General features: G+C 33.1%; 1 protein-coding gene across 13 annotated transcripts in view; it reads left to right on the top strand.

Moving 5' to 3' along the window:
• The window catches only part of DIAPH3 (diaphanous related formin 3), a 498,346-nt gene that overhangs the window by 324,643 nt on the left and 149,304 nt on the right, over positions 1-24,399 (top strand). For all 13 annotated transcript variants that reach the window (XR_002957478.1, XR_002957480.1, XR_941672.1 and 10 more), the window contains one exon: positions 6,015-6,179. Coding sequence is in view for 9 of the 13 variants with exons in the window: in NM_001258368.2 (NP_001245297.1) it covers positions 6,015-6,179 (165 nt within the window). In the remaining 4 variants the exon portion in view is untranslated. The remainder of the gene's footprint in view (positions 1-6,014; positions 6,180-24,399) is intronic.

The raw sequence follows: 24,399 nt of genomic DNA, 5'->3' as shown, positions 1-24,399 counted from the left end.
AACTAGAGATACAATTTATTTAATATTTTAGATGTCTTTGTGTAACCAGAGATCATTCTGTAGTGCCAAATTACAGAAAGTTTAACCTTTGCCTTCTTGCAGGGAAATTTATCAAAGTGTCTGTCAATCATGAATAATACACAAATGTCTGTCTGTCTGTCTGTTTGTTTATTTATTTATTTATTTATTTTTTGAAACCCAGGCTGGAGTGCGGTGGCATGATCTTGGCTCACTGCAACCTCTGCTTCCCAAGTTCAAGCAATTCTCCTGCCTCAGTCTCTCAAGTAGCTGGGCCTACAGGCACGCACCACCATGCCCAGCTAATTTTTTTGTATTTTTAGTAGAGACAGGGTTTCACCATATTCGCCAGACTGGTATCGACCTCCTGACCTCAAGTGATCTGCCAGCCTCAGCCTCCCAAAGTGCTGGGATTATAGGCGTGAGCCACCACGCCCACCCACAAATGTATGATCATTAATTTCTATTTTTTTCCTTTTTATCAGCTTAGATAATAGTATGTTCTCTCATCTTTTCCCTGTCATATACCTTATTTCCTTCTGATGTACATGATGAATTGAAAGGATATTAAAACTCAGGTTGAGGAAGTTTGACTCTAAACTCATGATGTGATTTAGATACCTTTGAAATGTCTGAGGAAGCAGATACAAGACTTCATAAACGTGTTTAACTAGTCAGCTTAACTTCAAGAATTGGCATATATTATAAATTAGTTTGTGCTCCATAAAATTTAATATTTCCTTTAGAAATACTAGATGGTTATAAAATCAAAATGGAGTTTATTATAGTCACTACTTGTATTGATATTTTCCTAACCCAAATAAATCGGTATGTATGTGTGTATATACATACACACACACACACACACACATATATAATTAATAGCATGAGGCTTGTGTCCTGTTTAAGGTTTCTTTTGTATTCAATTATCTTTATTATCACTAACTTTGTAGCTTAATCTCTAATGAGTAACTGAAGTAATAAACTTTTATTTCCTGAAAGTAATGTTGAGTTGCTTTGCAAACCATTTTATGAAATTACAGACTGATATCTTTTGTGTTGTAATAAAATATTACTACAATGCATTATTAAAATCCCATATGGACAAATGAATTCTGTATGAAAGATAACTCACTTCTAAAATGAGCTCTTATAAATAGACACTCCTAATATCTTAAACTGAGGTACTTGAAATAAAATGACTATTTTTCCTCTTTCTACCTCTTCTCTCCTGAGATTTAGTGAATCACAAAATTAATATTTGGCTTGTCATAGATTTTATTGTATATGCTTTCAGCTTAATTGTGAACTAGTTGAGTTTTAGCTTCCTTCACTGTCTCTGTCGGGAAATATCATAAAAATATACTCCAGCAACAATCAATTCAGGCTAACGTGTTTGTTTCCTTTTGTATCTTGCCACCCATCCAGTTTCTTATTTCATTAGGGAGGATGCCTTTATCACCCTACTGAGTAAGGCTTTTTTTTTTTTTTTCTTTTTAAGTAAAGGTGAAATCTGTATTCATCAAAAATTTTTTTGTACTACCTTCTCATATGACAAAGTGTGCTTTCTAAAATAAATATATTATTGCAGTTATATGTTTCATCATTCTTAGCTTTTTTCTTAATTTTATCATGTTAAAATATTCATATGTGACAGTTTGTTAATAACTAAGTACTGTTAATTGAACTACTTATTATTGTTCCCTATAGATATAAAGCAGTTCAGAAAAGATTTTGCTTGCATGTAGCTTCTGGTAGTACACTGTGAATGCACTAATTATGAAGCTCAGGTTTATAGAACCAAGATGAATTCCTGAGCTTGGAGTAAAGGTTGTAGAATCTTGCTTAGCACACGATCTCAGGACATATCTATACTTGGATTTATATGACACAAGAAACTGAATGATGTCGGCTTCTTGAAAGGTATGCGGCTCATAAAAAGCAACCAGCAGGAAATCAGAAACAGGAAGGATGATGCTTTGTTGGAAACAATTTTTCATTCTGAGTACAATTATACTCCATGGACAAGAAAGCTACTACATCCTGTCATTAAATATCACAACCTAGAAGCCTCTAATGAACTGATTAGCATTCATGTATCTCTTGGAAGTCAGATATATGAACAGTTGGTGCACTTTGCTATTGACAAAGCTTATAATCATAAATATTCTTTGCTGAGATTAGATTGCACTCGTTTGCTTTTCATCTTAGTTAGACATACTAGTTTCGAAGTAATTAAATTCATTCATTGCGAGTCTTTGTTTACATTAATTAGGACTGACATGTCAGATTTTGCATATTAAATGCATTTATACAGATCTTATTAAAATGGCAAATTGTGAGCTTCTTAGATGTTAAAAAATTGAAGAATTTGGAAGCTAAAATGCACAATGAATAAAATATACTTAAAGTTTGTTATTAACCACTTAAACTTTGTTCATGTTTTTCATTGAAATGCTTATTCATCGAGGTACATATCAAATGTTTGGTTCATTCACCAATTCTGGAAGAATATGTGTATTTTTAAATTTGTTAACAATGTATCTTACAAGTACGTACTTAAATAATTATAATTTAGTGAACTGTTAAATCAATTAATTGAATTGTTTTAAATTATTAAGATACAATTTTATTGTAATGTGAAATTTTACTAATAGCACTCGATGATAGTATGTTGTATTTTTATTCTTTCTGTGTATGCTTACTCTTTACATATACTGCTTAATATTAAAAAATTGAATTTAGTGCATCCTTTAAAAAGGATGCACTATTATTTCAAATATCATTGACATTTTAGTAATAATTATTACCTCCCACTTGCTAAGTCTAGTCAGAGCCTTAATTAGAATTGAATATTTCCACAGTAACTACTTGCTTGAAAAATGTGAAACCAAATTCAATGTATATCAGTATTGTTACATGCAAGCTATTATATGTGAGGTGTACGTACTTACTAAATTTTTATCGGTGAGAAAATTAAGAATATGCCAGGATTTGTGTCATGTAGTGCTTGTTCCTTTCTCATGATCTTTAAATTCTGTGATATGTCTTATTTTAAGGAGAAGAACAAATAGAATTTGGAGCATTGCACTTGAAATTCTTCTTGCCTGAGCACTTGCCTTTCTATTTTCTTCCTACTCCCTCTCCTGAGTCTTTCAGAAAAACTTATTTTGCTAGACATTTATATATTTCTGTATTTATTACAACTTATGTGACAAGTTACTTGACTCCTTTCCATGTTATATTCTTTAAATTTGTTCATTGAAATCCCACTTTATTTTCACACTTTTTTTGTGTGTTATTCTATATAGCAATGCTTTAGAAACTTCTGAAATCACTGGGTAGATGCTAAAGCCAGCCCAGTAAATTCATTGAGAGAAAGATTTACTTATATCTATATTCTACACTGCATAATGTACAGCATTTTTCAGATAAAGGAATTTAGTATGTTGAACTTTGAACTGTGGCGACTAGGAAGTAAAATAGAAGATTGGAATGGATGAAATGTAAACTTGTATAATACACGGCCCAGTTGTAAGAGTGGGAAGTGGGGCAATTGGGTGATTTATTGTAGCAGATTTTTCTTCTCTTGAATTAGTCTTCTCACTTTCTTCTCCTTTTCTTCTTCTGTTCTTTCTTTCTTGCCTGTGTTCCACTTAATTCCTTCTTAGCAGACTTTTAAAACTAGCATTAAATGTGCTGTTCTTAATTCTCTCTGAGTCCCCAAATTTATAATAATCTTTTCATTTTCTGAAGTCTTATACCTACAAGGGAGTACTACCCAATGGACAGCTCACTGCTCTTTAACAGTCAAGCCTCTGTTGTTTTAGTCAATCTCACTTTCTTAGCCAAGATTTTAACTACCTAACCTCTGTCACTCTACGTAATATCATATTTTTTTTCTACATCATACTTATTACTATGTTAAAAATCTGATTCATTTGTTTATTATCTGTCTCCATACTCTAAAATGTTTCTTGACAGCAAGGACTTTGCCTGACTTGTTAGCTACTGTTTTTCCTAGTGCCTAGAATACAGTGGAACTCAGATAATACTTACTGAATGGCTTGCTGGATCCTGTGTACTTAAGAAAGTCTATGAAATATATTAGACACATAGGACTGAATGATGCTGATCCTTATAAAGTATGTTAATGGAAGTTATGGGCATCCTCAGTGACAGAACTGTAATAAAGGCAGTATGACCTAAAAATAAATGTGGGATATATTTGTGGTAGGTGGTTTGGTAATGAGCAATACTGGCATACCAGGAGTAGAATTCCAAGTCATAGCTGGCCAACACTTAACACTTGTGGTTCAATGCATGTAAACACAGATCTGGTTGTTATCTACCTCTCAAATGGGAAGATGACAGTGATTCTAGTAGAAATTCATGAGAATTTGGCCTCAGTGTTGGTAAAGGAAAACAAAATAGATTTCCCAAAACATCAAGTAATTGGGCTTATATCAATATTTTTATAATGAATTTTATGAAATGTTTATTTTGTTGAGTATCTCACGTATTTTTCCAAAGCTCTTGACGAATACAGAAGTTGGAGTTTAACAGTTTGCACAAGGACAGCTAACTACATTTGCATTTTCTTTTAGATGAAGATGATGATGAAGAATTAGAATTCTTTCATATGCTAGCCTACATTTACTCCCTACCTGGCAGTAGTGCTGTCTCTTTTTTCCTTGGTCTTTCATTATTTTTCTCAAAGAAAAGGACCTGCATCAGTTTCCTTATTTCATCCTCTACTGATGTAAGTTCTGGCCAGAAGAACCATATCTTTTTGAAATTGTGGGCCAAAAAAATTTTAGATATAAAAATTCCATTTTTAGCTTCTTTCTCTTGGCCTGCCTGAATACTGTTTTTTATTTGTTTTAAATTTTGCTAATGGCTAGTCAAAGTTAGTAAAAGGACTTCTGCAAATTTAACTATGTTCCATTTCGTTAAATGTTAATTTAAAGGAGCCATAGGCAATTATGAGTGATGCTCTAAAAGAATCATTTTTTCTGGATATGGTATAGTGATGTTATATCTGACTGCATTAGCAATTTGCCACACAAGAAAAAAAATTTCATTGTTTATTTAGAAAATGTTTTCTAATGTCAGTGGCTGTCACATTCACATTAAATTCATCTTCTTAATTTCAGTGTGTTTTGAAATATATTGTCATGAGTGAGAGAAGAACGTTTCTATATGTGTGTGCCTGTGTGTGTAATCATAATTTTTAATAATCTAATGCATAAAGAAATTATATACCAGTTTTCTAAGAGAAGTTGGAACACTAATTTGGTTAGATAATGGGAGAAGTTTTCAGTTTAACTCTTAAAATTTTGTTTGCTTTTAGAACCTTAAAGTTTAAAATAAGTGAGGGATGATGATAACAAGTATTTTTGTGTGCTACTAAATGCCCACTTTTCTGAGAACTTTGCATGTGTTAGCTCATTTAGTCCTCTCAATAGCCCTGTGAGTTGGTGATATTATTGTTCCCATTTTACAGATGAGGAAATTGAAGCACAGAGACATGAAGGCACTTGCCCACAGGCACACTATTACCAAGTATAGGAGCTAGAAATTGATCCCAAGATGTCCAATTTAACTGTTGTGTTTAATGCTTGTACTGTTGATTTCAATATCATTGCAATTATTCAGCTGCAACTACTGAACTATAATTTTAAATCATATTGTATGATCTGCATATTATATTATTATAGTAAGTTGGAAGAAAGATTTTTTAAACTTGTTAAAGAGAAATATTAAATATATAAATCTTTTCTAATGATTTCCCAAAGTTAATTGGAAATTGAATTTAAGATTTTGTTGCTATGTAGTATAGACTGACTTTAAGAATGGTCAACTATTAGAAGTAATTTTAGAATTTTGGAAATATAGTAATGGTGGCTATTAGACTAAAACATTGGATTTACAGAGTTCCCCCTGCCCCCAAAGCATTACTTTGTAAATTTCAGAATACCTTAACTATAGTATACAGATTTGTTATCAGTGCAAAAGAACAATATGAGACACTTTCGAAGTTACACGAAAACATGGAAAAGTTATACCAGAGTATAATAGGATACTATGCCATTGATGTGAAGAAGGTGTCTGTGGAAGACTTTCTTACTGACCTGAATAACTTCAGAACCACATTCATGGTATGGTAAAAAAATTGTTTTTTAAAAAGTTTTTTTATTTATACTATCTTATCTATTATCTCATTACATCGTTCTACTCTTGTTGCTGTAGGAAAACCTATCTTTTCTGATTTTGAAAGCTATAAAATTTCAGATTTAAAAATCTATTGAAAAATGTATGGTTTGTTCTCCTTTTGGCCTTTCCAACATTAAGCTGTAATCAGACATTTTGATTGAAAAAGTGACAAATTCTGAAGTTCTTCATAAAGACTCCCTTGCTGGCTAATTACAGAGCACTTCTGTAATAAGTTTTTGGCTATGAATTTGTTTCTTTATACTTCAAGATCAGTTTATATTTTTGTGATATAATTTTACCAAATTCCTTGCAGCTTTTGTAAGGCTTTTTTTCCTTAATGCATTGTACAATAAGCTACACGCAATTTGCCTTTGAATAGGTTTTACATTCGTAGGGTTTCCTTTAGGATACTTTAATAGGGAGGTCAGGTCTTTGATGTGGAATCCTTTCATTTAGGCATTAAAAATATCTTTTCAAACATATTAGCTGATTAGGTGGGGGGAAGAAAAGAACTACACACATATTAAAGTGAGAAGGCATTGTTGCCTCCCTAGGGAAACTGGTGACATATTTCTACAATGAAAAATTGTTATTCTTAATAGATGGGTAAGTCATTTCTGTATTTTAGCAATTGTTTGTGGCGATTAAAAAGTTTTGAGGTGTGAAGAAAAAGAAGGTTGAATTTAAAGAACTGGTTCTTTTTAATCTCAGGAAAACTTTATTGCTGAGGTTGTTGGACTTGGTTATAATTATTTAGTTAGGATTAGATAGCCTTTTAATAAAAACACTATTTTTAAAGGAAAACTAATTTACAGGAAAAATACACATTTGGTCACAGTTCTAATTTATTTTCTCCACAAATTCAAAGCAATTCTGTAAATTATTTTTCATTGCCAGAAATGAATTTGGTTAATAAATATGATATACCTGTATGTGTCACATACTTTGCAATATATTATTTTAAATTTTGTAATGTTTTGTAAAGCAATATGGCTTAGTGGAAATAGTAAAGACTTTGCAGTCTGAGAGAGCTAGATTTGAATTTCATACGAGTTATGTGTCTGAAGACTTGTTTAACCTTGAGCCTCAGTTTCCACATTGGTTTTAAAAAAGTAATGTGAATTCCTTCCCCATAAAAATGTTTTCAGTATTAAATGAGATAATATATATTTAATGTTTATCATAGCTCCTGGCACATGGTAGTTGCTCAATAAATTATTATACAGTAAAGGGTTAATTCAGCAGGCTTGGGGTGCTCAAAACCTTCATATTCCAAAGAACACTGGCCCCTGACTGGCTACTAAGAGACCTAGAAATATCCTGCCTGATAAGGGCGTTTTATATACCTGGGGCCTTGGGCCAACCTATATAGATATGCTAATGATGTGATTTATGTTGAACACCTGTTTTGTCTACCTGGGGCCCTGGGCCACACTGTCTCCATTTGACCTCTTACTGAGCTGGAGATAGAATAGCTAAAATTAGTCTTCCAGGCAGTCTATGCTAAAGTGACTGACTCTCAATAAAATCTTTGACACCAAGACTCACAGAAGCTTCCCAGGTTTGCAATACTTTGTACATGTTGTCACATATTGTTTTGGGGATGATGAAGCATTGTCTGTTGGACTCCACTGAGAGAGGGCAATGGGAAACTTGGATCTGGTTTCTCCTGAAGACTGCCCTTTGCACATTTTTCCTTTTAATAGTGTTTGTAATAAACCATCACAGTGAATATAATGGCTTTTCTGAGTTCTATGAGCCCTTCCGGCAAATTATCAAACATGAGGGTGTCTTGGGGACCTCTGACACAATTATGCATCAAGTATAAAATGGATATATGAAGTAATAATATCCTTCTATTCTAAGTATTTTCTATAAGCCAGGCATTCTTCTAAATGCCTTACATATAGTATGTCAGACAAGCCACACAGTTCTTCTATGGCAGATAAAGAAGCTGAGGCACAGAGAAGGAACATATCCAGCTCAGTGTTATACTGCTATAAAATGGTCGAACTAGAATTTAAACCCATATAATCTTCTCTAAAGCCTTCTTTAAGGGCCCTAACTCTTAAACATTATGTCATGCTGCCTCTTGTATTCTACAGTTTGTGTTCCATTTCACAAATTAGAATACTGACGTTTGGAGGGTTTCCAAATGAGATCAATGCCATATTGTTTGTAAGTGATCCAGTTGGGATTTGAATCCAGATCCCAACTATGTAAAGTATACATATTTTAGATCAATTATTTACAAACCAAATTATTGTTCCAAAAAATGACCACTTTTTCTTTTTTTCTATTGGGAGAGGGGTTAGGTTTCAAGCTAGTCCTGTTGGACACAGCAGTAGCAGTTATGCATATAATAGAGGTAAATAGATCTAAAAGGATTAGAGGGTTTTGGCATTCTGTGGGTAACTTGGCATTTCATGTGGGCAAATAGTGGGCAGAGAGAGAAAGTGTTTGAATGGGAAAAGGGTTCCAAAAAGTGGGTAACAGAGTGACAGCTCTACTTTGTTTCAGAGTTCTCATGGGGTCCTAGAAGTCACTACCACCACACACACATTCATGTGTACACTGCACTAAATTAAAATTGTTAACATTAAATATTAAAATGTATTAAATCTAAAGAATAGTATATAGAAGAAATTTTATTTAGGAGAAAAATAAGCATGAAGGCTGGAAGGGAAGTGATTGTAACAAGGTTGTGAGATTTTATACAGGTACTTTATTCTCTTCTATTTTTCTTTCTTTTTGGGGGGTAAATATGGTTATATTGTTTAAATTTTAGACAAAATATATCGCTTTGAAGTCCAGAGTAGCAATATTGGCAAAAACTCCTGACAAATAAATGTCTCGTTTTGTCAGGGTCTTCTGATCTCTTAGGTTGCTCTTTAATTCCGTATTATTCAACTTTGAAAATCAGGTTAATGTGAATGAGTCACTACGGAAATCTTAGATATGTAGCTAAAGAAAGATGTAGAGTTTTATTTGTTGAAGATCTTGTTCTGGAAATCCCCATTAATAGACAAAAATTTTCTTCTTAAAAAGTACTGTTAAAATGTTTCCATTGTTTATTCATCCACTGGCATTTAGGTATACTTCTGGTCATGAATGAGCTTTTATCATAAAGTGAAGGCTAATTTTTGTATTACATATCAGGGGTTGGAACCACTGTCTTCACTCCATACCTACTCCCCCATTGGCAGTTTTCCATGCAATGTTTTCTCTCAAGTTCAGACCACTGTACTTACTGTTTCCTATGTTTGGAGCACTTTCTCCATACTCTGCCTGGCTAAATTATCATACTCATCCCTCTAATCTCTGTTCAGACATTTCTTCCTTTAGTAAGATCTGTGTCTGTCATATTTATCTTTCTGTCTCTAGTGCAATTCATGGCATATAATAGATAAATTTGTTGAGTAACAGATGATCAATGGGTGATTTAATAGCTAACATATATAGAGCTAACCATGCGTCTGGAGCTATATTTACCCATTTAATCCTTATAGTAGCAACTAAATGTGGTATGTGTACTGTTATTATTCCCATTTTTCAGATGAGGAAACAGGTATAGAGAGATCCTGACTTGCCTATCATTACATAGCTGCCAAGGAGCTAAGATTCTTTCCAGGCTGTCTGGCTCCACAGTCTATACCATATGTGGCTGACCTGCGTTAACATCTATTAAATGCATAACTGCTATTGCTGTGTCAAACGGGACTAGCTTGAAACCTAACCCCTCTCCCAATAGAAGAAAAGAAAAAGTGGCCATTTTTTTGGAACAATCGTTTGGTTTGTAAATAATTGATCTAAAATATGTATAGTTTAAGATTGTCTTGGGATTTAAACTTAAGTAGTTAAAGGCTGGGTTTAAAAGCTTTTTGCTATACCTTTGACTAACTCATACAGTCTCTCCTCAGTGTTTCTAGAATCTCACGACTAATATGTATAGATACAGCCCTTCGAGTTCATTTTTTTGTTTGCTCTATGAGAGCCTTGTTACAATAGCTAAAGAAGGAATATCTGTTCCAGACTGCTGCCTCAAGCCATGTAGAACAAGGGGGAAAAGTTTCAAAATCTTGTAGCTTCTCTGAGGAACAGCTGTTTATTTTGACAGCAGTTTAACTCACTTCTCTTCTACTTGAGAATTCTCAACTGGGAATTAATTTTTTTTTTAAACAATCGACTGTAGATAATGTGCTCATTGGGAATGGTTCTATTTTGAACTACTGATCAGTTTCCCAAGAAATAGGGAGTAAGTTTGCATTGTAATTTTCTTTAGCTTTATTTTTGTTACCATGATCAACAGAACAAAACCAAAACAACTGTCATGGTTTGAAGTTACTTCTTACTAGATCCAGTGCCCAGTGCTTTGCATGGAGTGTCCCACCTCGTCTTTCAGTGTTTTTTTTTTTTTTTTGAGGTCCAGAATGTGACAGGTGAGATAACTGCAGGGTAGAGAAGCTCCATGTCTTTGCAGAGAAGCTTCAGAGTTGGTAGGGCTAAGACTGAATGGAAGCCTGCCTGACTCCAAGGCCTGTTCTTTAACAGCTTCAGGTACATTGCTGCTCAGAGAGTTTGCAAGAAAAGCCAAGGTTGTAATTTTTAAGAGTGTTTTTGATAACTTACTAGAGAGAATCAGCACAGGGCATACTTTCTTTTCATACTCCTTGGGTATAATAATTGTCTATTTACATTGATGGGTTCATGATAGAAGAATGTTTTCAGATCTGCTTCTATTTCAAAACATGAAATGTGTTCTTTTAAAATTAGAGGACTATTAATGTAAAGCCTGGTTGCTGGGGTGAAGGATAAGGTGAAGGATAGAGGGTCAGCATCTTTTCGTAATAGATTTTTACTTACTGTAAGACTTGAGTGAAGACAAAAGTTCAGATTGGAGGTACTAGGTGGAAATATCTGACCTCATACTATATGCTGAGTAAATCGGTGGCGTATCGGGCATCAAGCTTTATACCAAGTGAAGTTCATACCTTTATTCATGTAGTGTTGTATAGCATTAATCATTGTTTTCTATTTGTGACTGGTTTTAGATTCACTGCATGCTATTAACCAATCTATTTGTTATTAGCAAATGATATCATGCTTCTACAGGATTAATTGAGCTCATGGAATTTTTGTTGGATCTTGTGAGCAACCTCATCCTCCTTAATCTATCCAACAGCTGTAGCGTGTTCATGTTTGTCCATTGAGTTTAAACCTAATTTTTCTGCCTTTCATTGGTCACTGTGGCTTTGAAGCATAATGTATGTACGGTTCCCACTTTCCATTCATATTAGAGGATTTTGATCTAATTGCTTTTTCTCACATAACCCAAACTACATGGTCTCTTCTTTAATGCTCTGTTATCCAGGTGATGCTTCTCCTAATTGGTACGGGTGGAAGCCTGTACTAATTAATCCATTAGCCCAACTTTGCTGAAAGTTCTTTTACTATTCTCTTTCCTTATCCAAAATTATTAGCAAAGTACAACACTCTTATCTCCTTAAGCAAATTTCATCTGACATCTTACTTGTTTTGCTTAACATTTCATCTTAAAGAAATTCTTCCTAATGCTTTCATCCTCTTCACACCCCTTTGTTGCAGAACTCCTTACGGGTAATCTATTTCAAAATAATTTTTCTACCAAATTATACTTATTAAAAATGTGTCATTTTTATCCTTCGCCCAGTTTTTGATGGGGTTGTTTGTTTTTTCCTTGTAAATTTGTTTGAGTTCATTGTAGATTCTGGATATTAGCCCTTTGTCAGATGAGTAGGTTGCGAAAATTTTCTCTCATTTTGTAGGTTGCCTGTTCACTCTGATGGTAGTTTCTTTTGCTGTGCAGAAGCTCTTTAGTTTAATTAGATCCCATTTGTCAATTTTGGCTTTTGTTGCCATTGCTTTTGGTGTTTTAGACATGAAGTCCTTGCCCATGCCTATGTCGTGAATGGTAATGCCTAGGTTTTCTTCTAGGGTTTTTATGGTTTTAGGTCTAACGTTTAAGTCTTTATTCCATCTTGAATTAATTTTTGTATAAGGTGTAAGGAAGGGATCCAGTTTCAGCTTTCTCCATATGGCTAGCCAGTTTTCCCAGCACCATTTATTAAATAGGGAATCCTTTCCCCATTGCTTGTTTTTGTCAGGTTTGTCAAAGATCAGATAGTTGTAGATATGCGGCGTTATTTCTGAGGGCTGTGTTCTGTTCCATTGATCTATATCTCTGTTTTGGTACCAGTACCATGCTGTTTTGGTTACTGTAGCCTTGTAGTGTAGTTTGAAGTCAGGTAGCGTGATGCCTCCAGCTTTGTTCTTTTGGCTTAGGATTGACTTGGCGATGCGGGCTCTTTTTTGGTTCCATATGAACTTTAAAGTAGTTTTTTCCAATTTTGTGAAGAAAGTCATTGGTAGCTTGATGGGGATGGCATTGAATCTATAAATTACCTTGGGCAGTATGGCCATTTTCACGATATTGATTCTTCCTACCCATGAGCATGGAATGTTCTTCCATTTGTTTGTATCCTCTTTTATTTCCTTGAGCAGTGGTTTGTAGTTCTCCTTGAAGAGGTCCTTCACATCCCTTGTAAGCTGGATTCCTAGGCATTTTATTCTCTTTGAAGCAATTGTGAATGGGAGTTCACTCATGATTTGGCTCTCTGTTTGTCTGTTATTGGTGTATAAGAATGCTTGTGATTTTTGTACATTGATTTTGTATCCTGAGACTTTGCTGAAGTTGCTTATCAGCTTAAGGAGATTTTGGGTTGAGACGATGGGGTTTTCTAGATATACAATCATGTCATCTGCAAACAGGGACAATTTGACTTCCTCTTTTCCTAATTGAATACCCTTTATTTCCTTCTCCTGCCTAATTGCCCTGGCCAGAACTTCCAACACTATGTTGAATAGGAGCGGTGAGAGAGGGCATCCCTGTCTTGTGCCAGTTTTCAAAGGGAATGCTTCCAGTTTATTCCCATTCAGTATGATATTGGCTGTGGGTTTGTCCTAGATAACTCTTATTATTTTGAGATATGTCCCATCAATACCTAATTTATTGAGAGTTTTTAGCATGAAGGTTGTTGAATTTTGTCAAAGGCCTTTTCTGCATCTATTGAGATAATCATGTGGTTTTTGTCTTTGGTTTTGTTTATATGCTGGATTACATTTATTGATTTGCATATATTGAACCAGCCTTGAAGGATATGAACAGACACTTCTGAAAAGAAGACATTTATGCAGCCAAAAGACACATGAAAAAATGCTCATCATCACTGGCCATCAGAGAAATGCAAATCAAAACCACAATGAGATACCATCTCACACCAGTTAGAATGGCAATTATTAAAAAGTCAGGAAACAAAAGGTGCTGGGGAGGATGTGGAGAAATAAGAACACTTTTACACTGTTGGTAGGACTGTAAACTAGTTCAACCATTGTGGAAGTCAGTGTGGCGATTCCTCAGGGATCTAGAACTAGAAATACCATTTGACCCAGCCATCCCATTACTGGGTATATACCCAAAGGACTATAAATCATGCTGCTGTAAAGACACATGCACCCATATGTTTATTGTACACTATTCACAATAGCAAAGACTTGGAACCAACCCAAATGTCCAACAATGATAGACTGGATTAAGAAAATGTGGCACATATACACCATGGAATACTATGCAGCCATAAAAAATGATGAGTTCATATCCTTTGTAGGGACATGGATGAAATTGGAAATCATATTCTCAGTAAACTATCGCAAGGACAAAAAACCAAACACCATATGTTCTCACTCGTAGGTGGGAATTGAACAATGAGAACACATGGACACAGGAAGGGGAGCATCACACTCTGGGGACTGTTGTGGGGTAGGGGGAGAGGGGAGGGATAGCATTAGGAGATATACCTAATGCTAAATGACGAGTTAATGGGTGCAGCACACCAGCATGGCACATGTATACATATGTAACTAACCTGCACATTGTGCACATGTACCCTAAAACTTAAAGTATAATAATAATAAATAAAATAAATGTGTCATTTTTCTGTTTTAGTTAGACATATGTAGCTGTTATGTGGACTCTCTGAGTTTGCAATATCACCTGTTCTCATATAGAATACATTTTTATTTCTGTGACTTATTTTTGAGCACACGAACATTTCCCGATGGGATTTTAAAGTACTGAAAAAGGCCACTACACTTCTTTCTTACTCATAGTTTCTAAGACCTTGAATATCTGGAAATCCCACTTTGAGGTTAAGATTTAGAGGGCAACAAAAAAATCCCTGCCTTAAAAAAGATTATTATTGCACACAAAAAGTGGAGAAGCATTATATTGGTGTTCTCTTTTTTGTAGATGGGTATAGACATATGTGCCAAACTTTGTAGTTATTATTTTCTAGTTCATAAAATCCAGTCTCTTTCTCCCGTAACTTAATTTCCTATATATATCTCCCATCTTAATTGCCTGTGATGACCCTCAAAGAGAGACATGATTAGTCCTGATTTCTTCAAATCTTAAGTGATTGATGAAACCTGCCTATGATAGGCCTCAGCCAATTCATTTGTTATTAATAGTGATGTTTTGCTGTTTGCCGTTCTAGTGGGAAGACAGCAGTAGTTGAGATGCAAGTTCTGGCATCAGAGCATCTTGGAGTTGAGTCCGGTCTCTGTAGATTATTAGTGATACGTGTATAGGCAAATTACTTAACCTTACTGAGCCTCAGTTTTCTGATAATAACAGCCTGCATCTCTTAGGGATGTTACTTTTTGAAAATCAAATTACATAACATACATATACCCTCAAAACAAGTTAGCCATGTACAAATAATAGAAGTACAGTAATTTTACATTTTCAATCTCATTATAATAGGATTGATACTGTATTTTATCCTTTTTTATTTTTATGCTCCCATATAGAATACTGTGAAATAAATAAATAGCTACCTGTTTCACATGTATAGCTCTGGCTTTAGAGTATTTCTACAATTTTGTTAAATTTATGTTTCATCTAGATAAAGATTTGTCATTTGTGCTGTTTGCCGACTTTAAGTCAATTTTTGGTTTATAAAATTGAAATCTATGTTGTGAACAAATATAAAATCAATTTTAACTCAGTTAATCTTGCTGCATCTGTTGATCAAATATAATTTATTATTCTACTGAATTCTCCGACTAAAGTAGTGAAGTGCCAAACAAAAATGAAATCATCCAGTCAGAGGGTATTTTTAGTGTAAAATTGTTTTTGATAGGGAGGACAGCCAGAACAAAACTCATTTTGCCAAATCATTTAGATTACACAAATTTGATCCTTGTCAACTCTAAATGCCATTTGTGCTGACTACTGTGTGGACCAACTAGATCATCAAAAGGAATGTCAAAACACTAAGCATTTCCTGTGTGCTCCTAAATCTTGTAGATTGACTCATTATATGTGTTAGAGGAAGGAAAATCATGTACAAGTCCTATGGTCGAGTGTTGAGCCAGCTTTTGCAATTTTAATAGGAAGCATCTTCTATCCTTGCTTAATTTGGTGGGCTTACAACTTGAAAATTGTATTTGGAGTCTTTTCACATAAGACTTATGTCTTCATTAGCACATTTGTTATTCTGAGATCAAACTTGGAGCTAAATGCCACAAACCTAGAACAAAATAAATATGCTAACTATAAGACTGTTTTTCTTATTATCCTTTAGTATTTGTTTATTTAAGGAATTAGATCAATTTCAGGTGCTGAATATTTTGAGTTTGCAACTTTGAAAAATAATTTAATTCTGATAGGTTCTCCTAGTCTTTACTCTTTAAGTTCTTCACAGTAAAAACAGACCTTTACTAATTGGCTTACTTTTCTTTCTTGGTAAGATTTATTCGTACTATGCATTGCTAAATGGGATAATAACTGGATTTGACTGCCAGGTTCTGTATGACTGCTAATAACTGCTAATTTTTATTTCTTTTCCACATTTTCAGTATTTTGTTTGTTCCCTGAAATAACGTAGCAAAAGGTAATGCCTAGATTATTCTAATACGGTAGTGAGAATAAAAATAGATTGATAATATAGGGAAAAGAAATCAACTTAATAACTAATACATAATAATAAGATATATTAACTCATGTAATTAAAAAGGTGACAACCTAGAATACCACAAAAAAAAATGAATAAAATGGTATGTTCTTTGTACATCAAATGCAGTGGCCTTTTCTAGATTATTCTCATACACCCTCACATAGAGACAAGAGGAAACAGAGAGATAGAAGGAGAGGATACATGTTAACTTAAGGCTATTTTTTATGTTACATTTTAAACATAATTAGGTTCATATGGCTAGGCCTGGTGGCTCAGGCCTGTAATCCCAGCACTTTGGGAGGCCGAGTGGGTGGATCACGAGGTCAGGAGATTGAGACCATCCTGCACAACATGGTGAAACCCTGCCTCTACTAAAATACAAAAAAAAATTAGCCAGGCATGTTGGTGCACACCTGTAGTCCCAGCTACTTGGGAGGCTGAGGCAGGGGAATCGCTTGAACCCAGGAGGCGGAGGTTGCAGTGAGCCGAGATCGCACCACTGCACTCTAGCCTGGTGACAGAGCGAGACTCCGTCTCACAAAAAAAAATAAATAAATAAATAAATAAATTAGGTTCATATGAGACTAGTGGGACTTTAGTTGGATGTTTCCCTTGAATATGTGTTTAGCAGCAACTCAAAAAACTGCTGCCTTATCAGCAAGCCTACCTTTAAGCACACTATGGCTGCCATCTTGTGCATAGCGACTTGTGCTTGTATTTAGCTTTGTAATTGGGAGATAAAAATAATATTTTTATTATATATCACTTCTGAACAAAAGGGAAGAGAACACACAATGGGAAATCAAATTATACTTTGGGAAAAACTTTATTACAAACATCTTATACTTTATCTATTAAAGAAATGTGAATAGGTTGAAGTATCTCATTTACTTGAAAATTTTACGAATTGTGGAAGAGATTGCAAAGAAACTCATAGCAAAGTTAAGAAGGGCCAGTAATGTTACATCCCTGATGGGTTAATAAGTAATTTGTTGTTTTACCTGAGACCGATTTTACAACAAATAGCAACTTAAGCTGAAATAGTTTAATAATCAGCACCTGCACATCCTTTGGGATATTCTAGTTTGTTCCTCAAAGGATAGTTTCCCATTTTCATAAGTTTCACGGTCATAAAAAGTTCAACTAATAGCAACGCATATTGAATGTTAAGATGATGAATTGTTTGTGCCAGAGCACAGTATATCATGTTCTCCTATTTTCATTGATAACAGTTTTTTAATTGGATTTGGTAATACTAGAAAAATTATTTTGATTAATTTTACTGTCATTCTAGATTTCTTTCTAAAACATCTGTCTTGTAATTATTACAATAAACTTACTTTCCACAAAGTAGCTATAATAAGTTTGTTTTTGGCACTTGGGGAAAATTTTTACATTTTTACATTTAGTTACCAAAGAAAATAATTTTAATGGAAAACTGAAAAGTAGATCACGTAATTTCTATATTCTGACAGACTTTGGTGACTAGTATTAATTTTTTAAATTTTTTTTCCTGTTCCACTACAGGAATATGTATGAGAATACAGAAATGTATTTTTAAGGATTTTTTCCAAATTAAAATGTTTTCCAATTATTCCTAAAGCTGAAGTCATCAGGAGTTTCTAGAAAGTAGTAATTAAGTATGGTGAAGCATTGCCTTTTATTAAGGTTAAACAACCCTAAGCAAGGTGTTTAGTGGGAATGTGTGAGACCTGCATGAGCTTGTTTACTCTGAGAAAATTAGTCTTGTTTTCATAGTACCTAACTGTCATTCCCCTGGAAAACATGGAGACTTAAGTTAGGTTTGTCTAATCTAATCTCATTTTAGGGACTTGAGACAAAGTTGAATACTTAGGAAAAAGTAAAGATTTTTGAGTTTAGTGAAACCTGTGTTAAAGAGATCCCTGACTTGTATTGCTTGAGTATCCATTAATGTTGAATGAAATAGAACTCTGAACAAGAAGACATTCATAAGCTTTTCAACTTTTTTTCAAATGATTAAATCTCCTAGTTTTCTATGTCGCAAAAATATACAGGATATTATAATATGTTGAAAAATGTTGAGTTGGGTGGGCGAATCTGTTTAAATGGGCTGAGACTGAAATAGAGATGAAGTACGATCAAAAAGTCAGAATCTATGGCAGCCTACTTTAATAGTTAAATAAATAGTATTAAATAGTATTTAATACTATTATAACATTAAATAGTATTTAATACTATTATAACACTAAATAGTATTTAATGCTATCATTTTTATATTTTGTTTTATTAAAATTTTATTTTATAACATAAAATAAGACTGATATACCTGTCAAGTAAAGGCCTATTTGGAATATAGGCTGTTTATAATGCTTTTTTTAGAAGGAGGGGAAAATGCACATTGATTTTTTAAATTGCACTTTTAGGGAAAAATATAAAACAAATGTTAATTGCATTATTGGGCAGTGTTTTAAGTTAATTTTTTAGGAATATCTAATTTCAAGTGAAAGTAGTACTTTCGTGGAGAAAACACAGGAAAGCTAACTCTTTTTTTCCAGAATGAAATCTCATAATGAACATTAGATTTAGAATATTAAAAACAATGTGCATATATATGTAAATTAAATCTTCAGAGGTATAATAGCTAGACTTGAGGTTGAGAACTACATCTTGCCTTCCATATTTAATTTACCACTATAGCTTTCCTGCCAAGTGATGCAGCTTGTATTGGATGCAACCATTTTACTCCTGATCAGCTCAGTGTACCATCGTATTCCAATATCTCTGAATAGAAAGCATTCATATTCTTATAGGAACTATGAAAATTGGCACTCCCCCATATGTTTGATGGAAGCATATATAATTGATATAAGCCAGCATATGTTTTTTTCTTGAATTGTTGCTGGATAAATGTGTTTGAGGCACTTCATTAATGGTACTGTAATAATAAAAAATTGTTGATGTTATTGTAAAGAAATAATAATACTTGTTAACATTTATATAGGGCTAAAATTTATGTGTGAGGCAATGATATAAGCTATTTACATGCATTATTTCATTTATTTCTTAAAATATCCTTGTATTGCAGGCACTATTTTGTCCATGTTACAGTAGAGGAAACTGAGGCATAGTCACACAGCTATTTAGTGCTAGGTGGTTATTTAAACCAAACAATATGATTTCAATTTCTACCCTCTTATTATACTGTCTTTATAATATGCAGCAATAAGCTCAGATTGATTTTTTTTTTTTTACAACTTCTAAAAGTGATGAAATGTCATACTTAATGTATTCTTGAAGGCATTCTTGATCTTCAGTTCCACAGTATTTTTTTGAGTGCTTGTTCAGGACTCATTTGATATGGCTGTCCAATTACCCTTTTTTTGTTTGTTTGTTTGCAACCTTTGGGTCATGAAACACACATGTATAAAGTATCCCCCGAAATACATACTGTATGAGAACTGCTACATTATATGAACGTTTTTTAGAAATAAGATATCTGTGTTGTTCAACCCTATAAAACAATATACTTTTGAGGACTTTGCTTATCACAATACGATTTACTAGGGACTCTTAAAAATCCATCCCACCAAAATACAACAAACTATTTTAAAAACGTGGCTGTCCTGTGAGAAAATTAGGGAAATCTCCAAGGCAAAAGTGGTTAAAGAGAAAGAATGAAGTTGAAACCTGAACAATAAGCACAGGTGAGCAAAGGGGAAAGTTAGGCCTGCCCTGGGAATGAAAACCAAGACTACAACTTGGTGAATACAATGAATAAAATGTTTACAATAAACCTGTGACAAAAGCAAATTAAAGTTATTCAGGTTAGAAATGATCCCTGGCTATTTACAGAAGCAAATTCAAATCTGTGCCAGAGGACAGTTACAATTTAGGTCCTCAAGATTCTCACAAATTAAGTTCAATTAAGTAAGAACACTCAATCCTAACCACCAAACACACAAAGAAACAAGGGATTGTTTGGTGAAATGATCAGAAAAAGTAATACATATAGGCCTCCAAGACCCCAGATATTTAGTAACAATATATGAAATATTTAAGGAAATAGAACATGAAATTTTTAAAAAGAGAAAAAGTAACAGGAGAATACTAAAAAGGAGCAGTTTTGAAAAAAGCAAATAGAATGTATGGAAATGGAAGTGTGGTGGTTGAAATTTAACATTCAATGGATTAAAGAGCAGGTTATGCTCACTTAAGGAAAGAAATGGTGAATTTGCACAATACATCTAAATAAATTGTCCAGAATGCAAACCAGGGGGACAGTATAATTAGAAGTGTAAAATACTTCTTAAGAAACATGGAGAACAGGATGACAAGGCCTACCACTTGTATAAAGTCCCAGAAGAATAGACTCAAAAAGAATGAAAGACAATATTCAAAATGGTGGCTTAGAATTTTCCAGATCAGCAATCCATAGAATAGGAAATACAACTTATACAAAGCCAGATAAATAAAATGAGACTCACTTCAAATAAATAATGAAGCTGCAGAACACTAAAGCCAAAAAAAAAATTGCAGCCAGAGAGAAAAGATATGACCCCCAAAGCAACAACAATTAGATACAGATTACTTATTGCAAAAATGGAAGGCTGAAGAGAGTGAGATCTTTAAGTGATGCACAAACATAAATGTTCTTCTAATTTGGGGTATCCAGCAAAAGATCTTTATAGAGCACAGGTGGAATTATCTACTATTTGTAGATAAACAGGAAACAAAAGTGTTTTTCATCAACATCCTTATGTTAAAAGATTTTTTTTCAGAGACTGGAAAACTTTTTCTTAAATAGCCAGATAGTAAATATTTCAGGTTTGCAGGCAATACAGTCTCTGTGGCAACTCTCGTGTAACAGTGCAAAAGCAGCCATATCCAATATGTAAATAAACGGCTGTGGCTATGTACCAGTAAAACTTTGTTTACAAAATACGTGGTCAATCTAAGGATTATAGTTCGATAGCCTCTGCTCTAAAGGTTGTATTTAAAGAAGCAACAAAAAACAGATTGAGAGACAGGAAGCCATAGGTACTATGAAAACAAATGTAAAGAAAGTACACAATAAAACAATGTTACATAAATTTATAAATTGAGTGAGAGAGATTTAGAATTTGGGTTTTCTTTATTTTAGTCAAGGGAGAAAGGGAGATACAGATATTAATTAACTTTAGGTCTTGTTAAGTTGCTAAAAATTTATTTGTGTAATAAAAATACAAGGATAACCAGTGAAAGGATAGAAATATCAAGTATAAATTCTAAACTGTAGTGAGAGAAATAGACTAAGAAGGATACACCAAAAAAAATCAGGAAAAATAAAGGCATAACTAAAGCTAGACAAATAGATGGAAACAAACATTTTATAAATCACAATAAATTTTTTAAAGGACTGTAATATCGTATAAAAAATAAAATCTGGTTTTATGCTGTTTATAAGAGACCTCCCTTTACCCTATGGATATAGAAATGTTTGAAGTAACAGGACAGTTAATGAAATACAAGGCAACTATTAATCAGAAGAAAGGGAAACTATGTTAATAGGTACAATTGACTCAAGACATTAATTACTTCATGACAACAAAAAGCTTAATTCACGTGAAAGATACAACAATTTAAAAATGGTATGTGCCTAATAACATAGCCCCAAAATGACATTGTAAAAATTAATAAACTATATCGATAAGTTGACAGATTTAGGATTATGTTAGGAAATGTCAACAAAGTTCTTTAACTTACTGATAAGCAGAAAAATATCATTAAAGACAAGCGTTAAACAATTAACAGACTTGATTTGATTAGTGTATATAGAATTCAAACTCGATAATTAAAGAATACACATTTTTTCATGCACAAGTTGAACTTTTATAAAATTGGTTACATACTAGAGACCATGAAATCTCAATACATTTTTCAGTGCCAGTTTTATTTATTTATTGACCACAATGACATGAAATTAGAAATAAAATTAAAAGGATGAAATTTTAAAACCTCTAGTTTGAAAATTCTAAAAACACATTTAAAAAGTCATATGTCAAAGATGAAATCATAGAAAACAGTTATACCTGAACAATATTGAAAATACCCCACATTAGACTTTGCTGGATGCAGTAAAAATGGTATAAATTTATACCATATGTGCTTAAGAGAATAAGTCAAATGTTCCTACATATATAAAAGATAAATATTTAAGGTTATGGATATTCCAATTACCGTGATTTGATCTTTACACATTATATAAAAGTATCAGATTATCATATGTACCCCCAAAATATGTACATGTATTATGTATCAATAAAATAACTTTTATCAGAAAGACTTAAAAACATCTGACTTCAGAAATTTAAAAAGGATTTATATGATCCTAGAGAAACCAGAAGGAGGGATATGAAAGATTAAATGAAAGAAAAAGTGACATAAAAGGCAAAAATGAGGTTATTCTGAAAAGACAAGTTAATTAGATATATTGCTAAAAAGATTAATCAAGAAAAAGAGAAGATAAATAATATTGAGGATATAAAAAGGAACATAACTAAAGATACAGAAAATAGTAAAAAGAGAGGAGCTTTCTGTAAAAATTTGTAGGATAGTATTGGAAAAGGTAAATGAAATGGATAAGTTCCTAGACAAAAATAACTTACTGAAATTACTTTAAAAGAAATAGAAAGCATGAATAGTTCTATAACTAATTTTGATTTTAATGACTTTTAATCTTTGAAATAAATACTTGGCCTAGAAGTTTTTCAGATACATTTTACCAAATTTTAATGAAATGATTATCTCAAACAAATGGAATACAAAAATGTATTTTATGACTAAATGTTCAAAAAGATAAATTCTTCCTGTCCAAATTGAGTTTATCCTAGAAGTGAAAGTATGGCTTAATATTAGAATATTCATAAATATAATTCACTATATTGAGTCTAATGGGAAAAAAAATTGTGAAATTTCTCTCAGTCAAGTCAGAAAATCCTATTCAGATTTCAAAACAAGAACCATGAACTAATTTAACCCTCCACCCTACTCCAAAGTAGGAAAGGAGTCAAAGGAAACCCTTTAACCTAATACTTAGAATCTAACTCCTAGTCAGTATAGCAAGATAAGACAAGTAGGAGTTGAAAATGTAAAGATTGAAAAGGGAGAAAATCAAGCTGACATTATAGCACTCTATGAATAGCAAAAACAAATCCTATAGGAAAACTATCAGAAATAATAAGAAAAATTATCAGTAGCATATATAAAAATTACATTTTTTAGGCTGGGTGTGGTGGCTCATCCCTGTAATCCCAGCGCATTGGGAGGCTACGGTGAGAGGATCACTTGAACCCAGGATTTCAAGACCAGCTTAGACAATATTATCAAGACCCCCATCTCTACAAAAAGTAAAAATTACATTTTTATATGTTACAAAACAATAGAAATCATTGTTTTTGAAGAAGGCACCATTTACAATAGCAAAAGAAATGTATAGAGAGTAAATCTAACAAAAATGTCCAAGACCTGAATGGAGAAAATGAGTTTTTTTCTAAAGCTTTTTTTAAAGATCCAAGTTAATAAAAAGCCACATGCTGTTCACAGAAGACTCAAAATTGTGAAGATATCAATTAAAAATGCTTATAGTCCTTTTCAATGAAACTTAACAAGTCTATTCTAAAATACAGATGGAAGAGCAAAGGCCCAAGGATACAGAAGGCATTCCTAAGTAAGAAAAATAAGATGTAAGCCTTAATAATTAAAATAGAGTATTATTCTTAGAGACATGGTTATATTGATCAAATGGACTAAAACAGCCATAAAATGAAGCAACACACATGTGCTAATTGAAATCCAAAAGAAGTGACTTTGCATATTATTGGAGAAAGGATGGGCAAAAGTGAATTGGATCTCCAACTCATACTGTTCAAAAATGTTGATTCCAACAATGAATGAATGGATTTTTAAAATGTGGTTCATATACACAATGGAATACTATTCAGACTTAAATGAAAAAATGGAAATTCTGTCATTTGCAACAACATAGATGAAACCAGAAGACATTATATTAAGTGAAATAAGCCATTCACTGAGAGACAAATACCATAATATGATCTCACTTACGTGTGGTATATAAAAAAGTCAGACTTAT

Source organism: Homo sapiens, chromosome 13, assembly GCF_000001405.40.
Source record: "Homo sapiens chromosome 13, GRCh38.p14 Primary Assembly".
In the NCBI taxonomy this organism is placed as follows: Eukaryota; Metazoa; Chordata; class Mammalia; order Primates; family Hominidae; genus Homo; species Homo sapiens.
The sequence above is the reverse complement of the archived record's forward strand: the minus strand, read 5'-3'. Positions and strand labels throughout refer to the sequence as shown.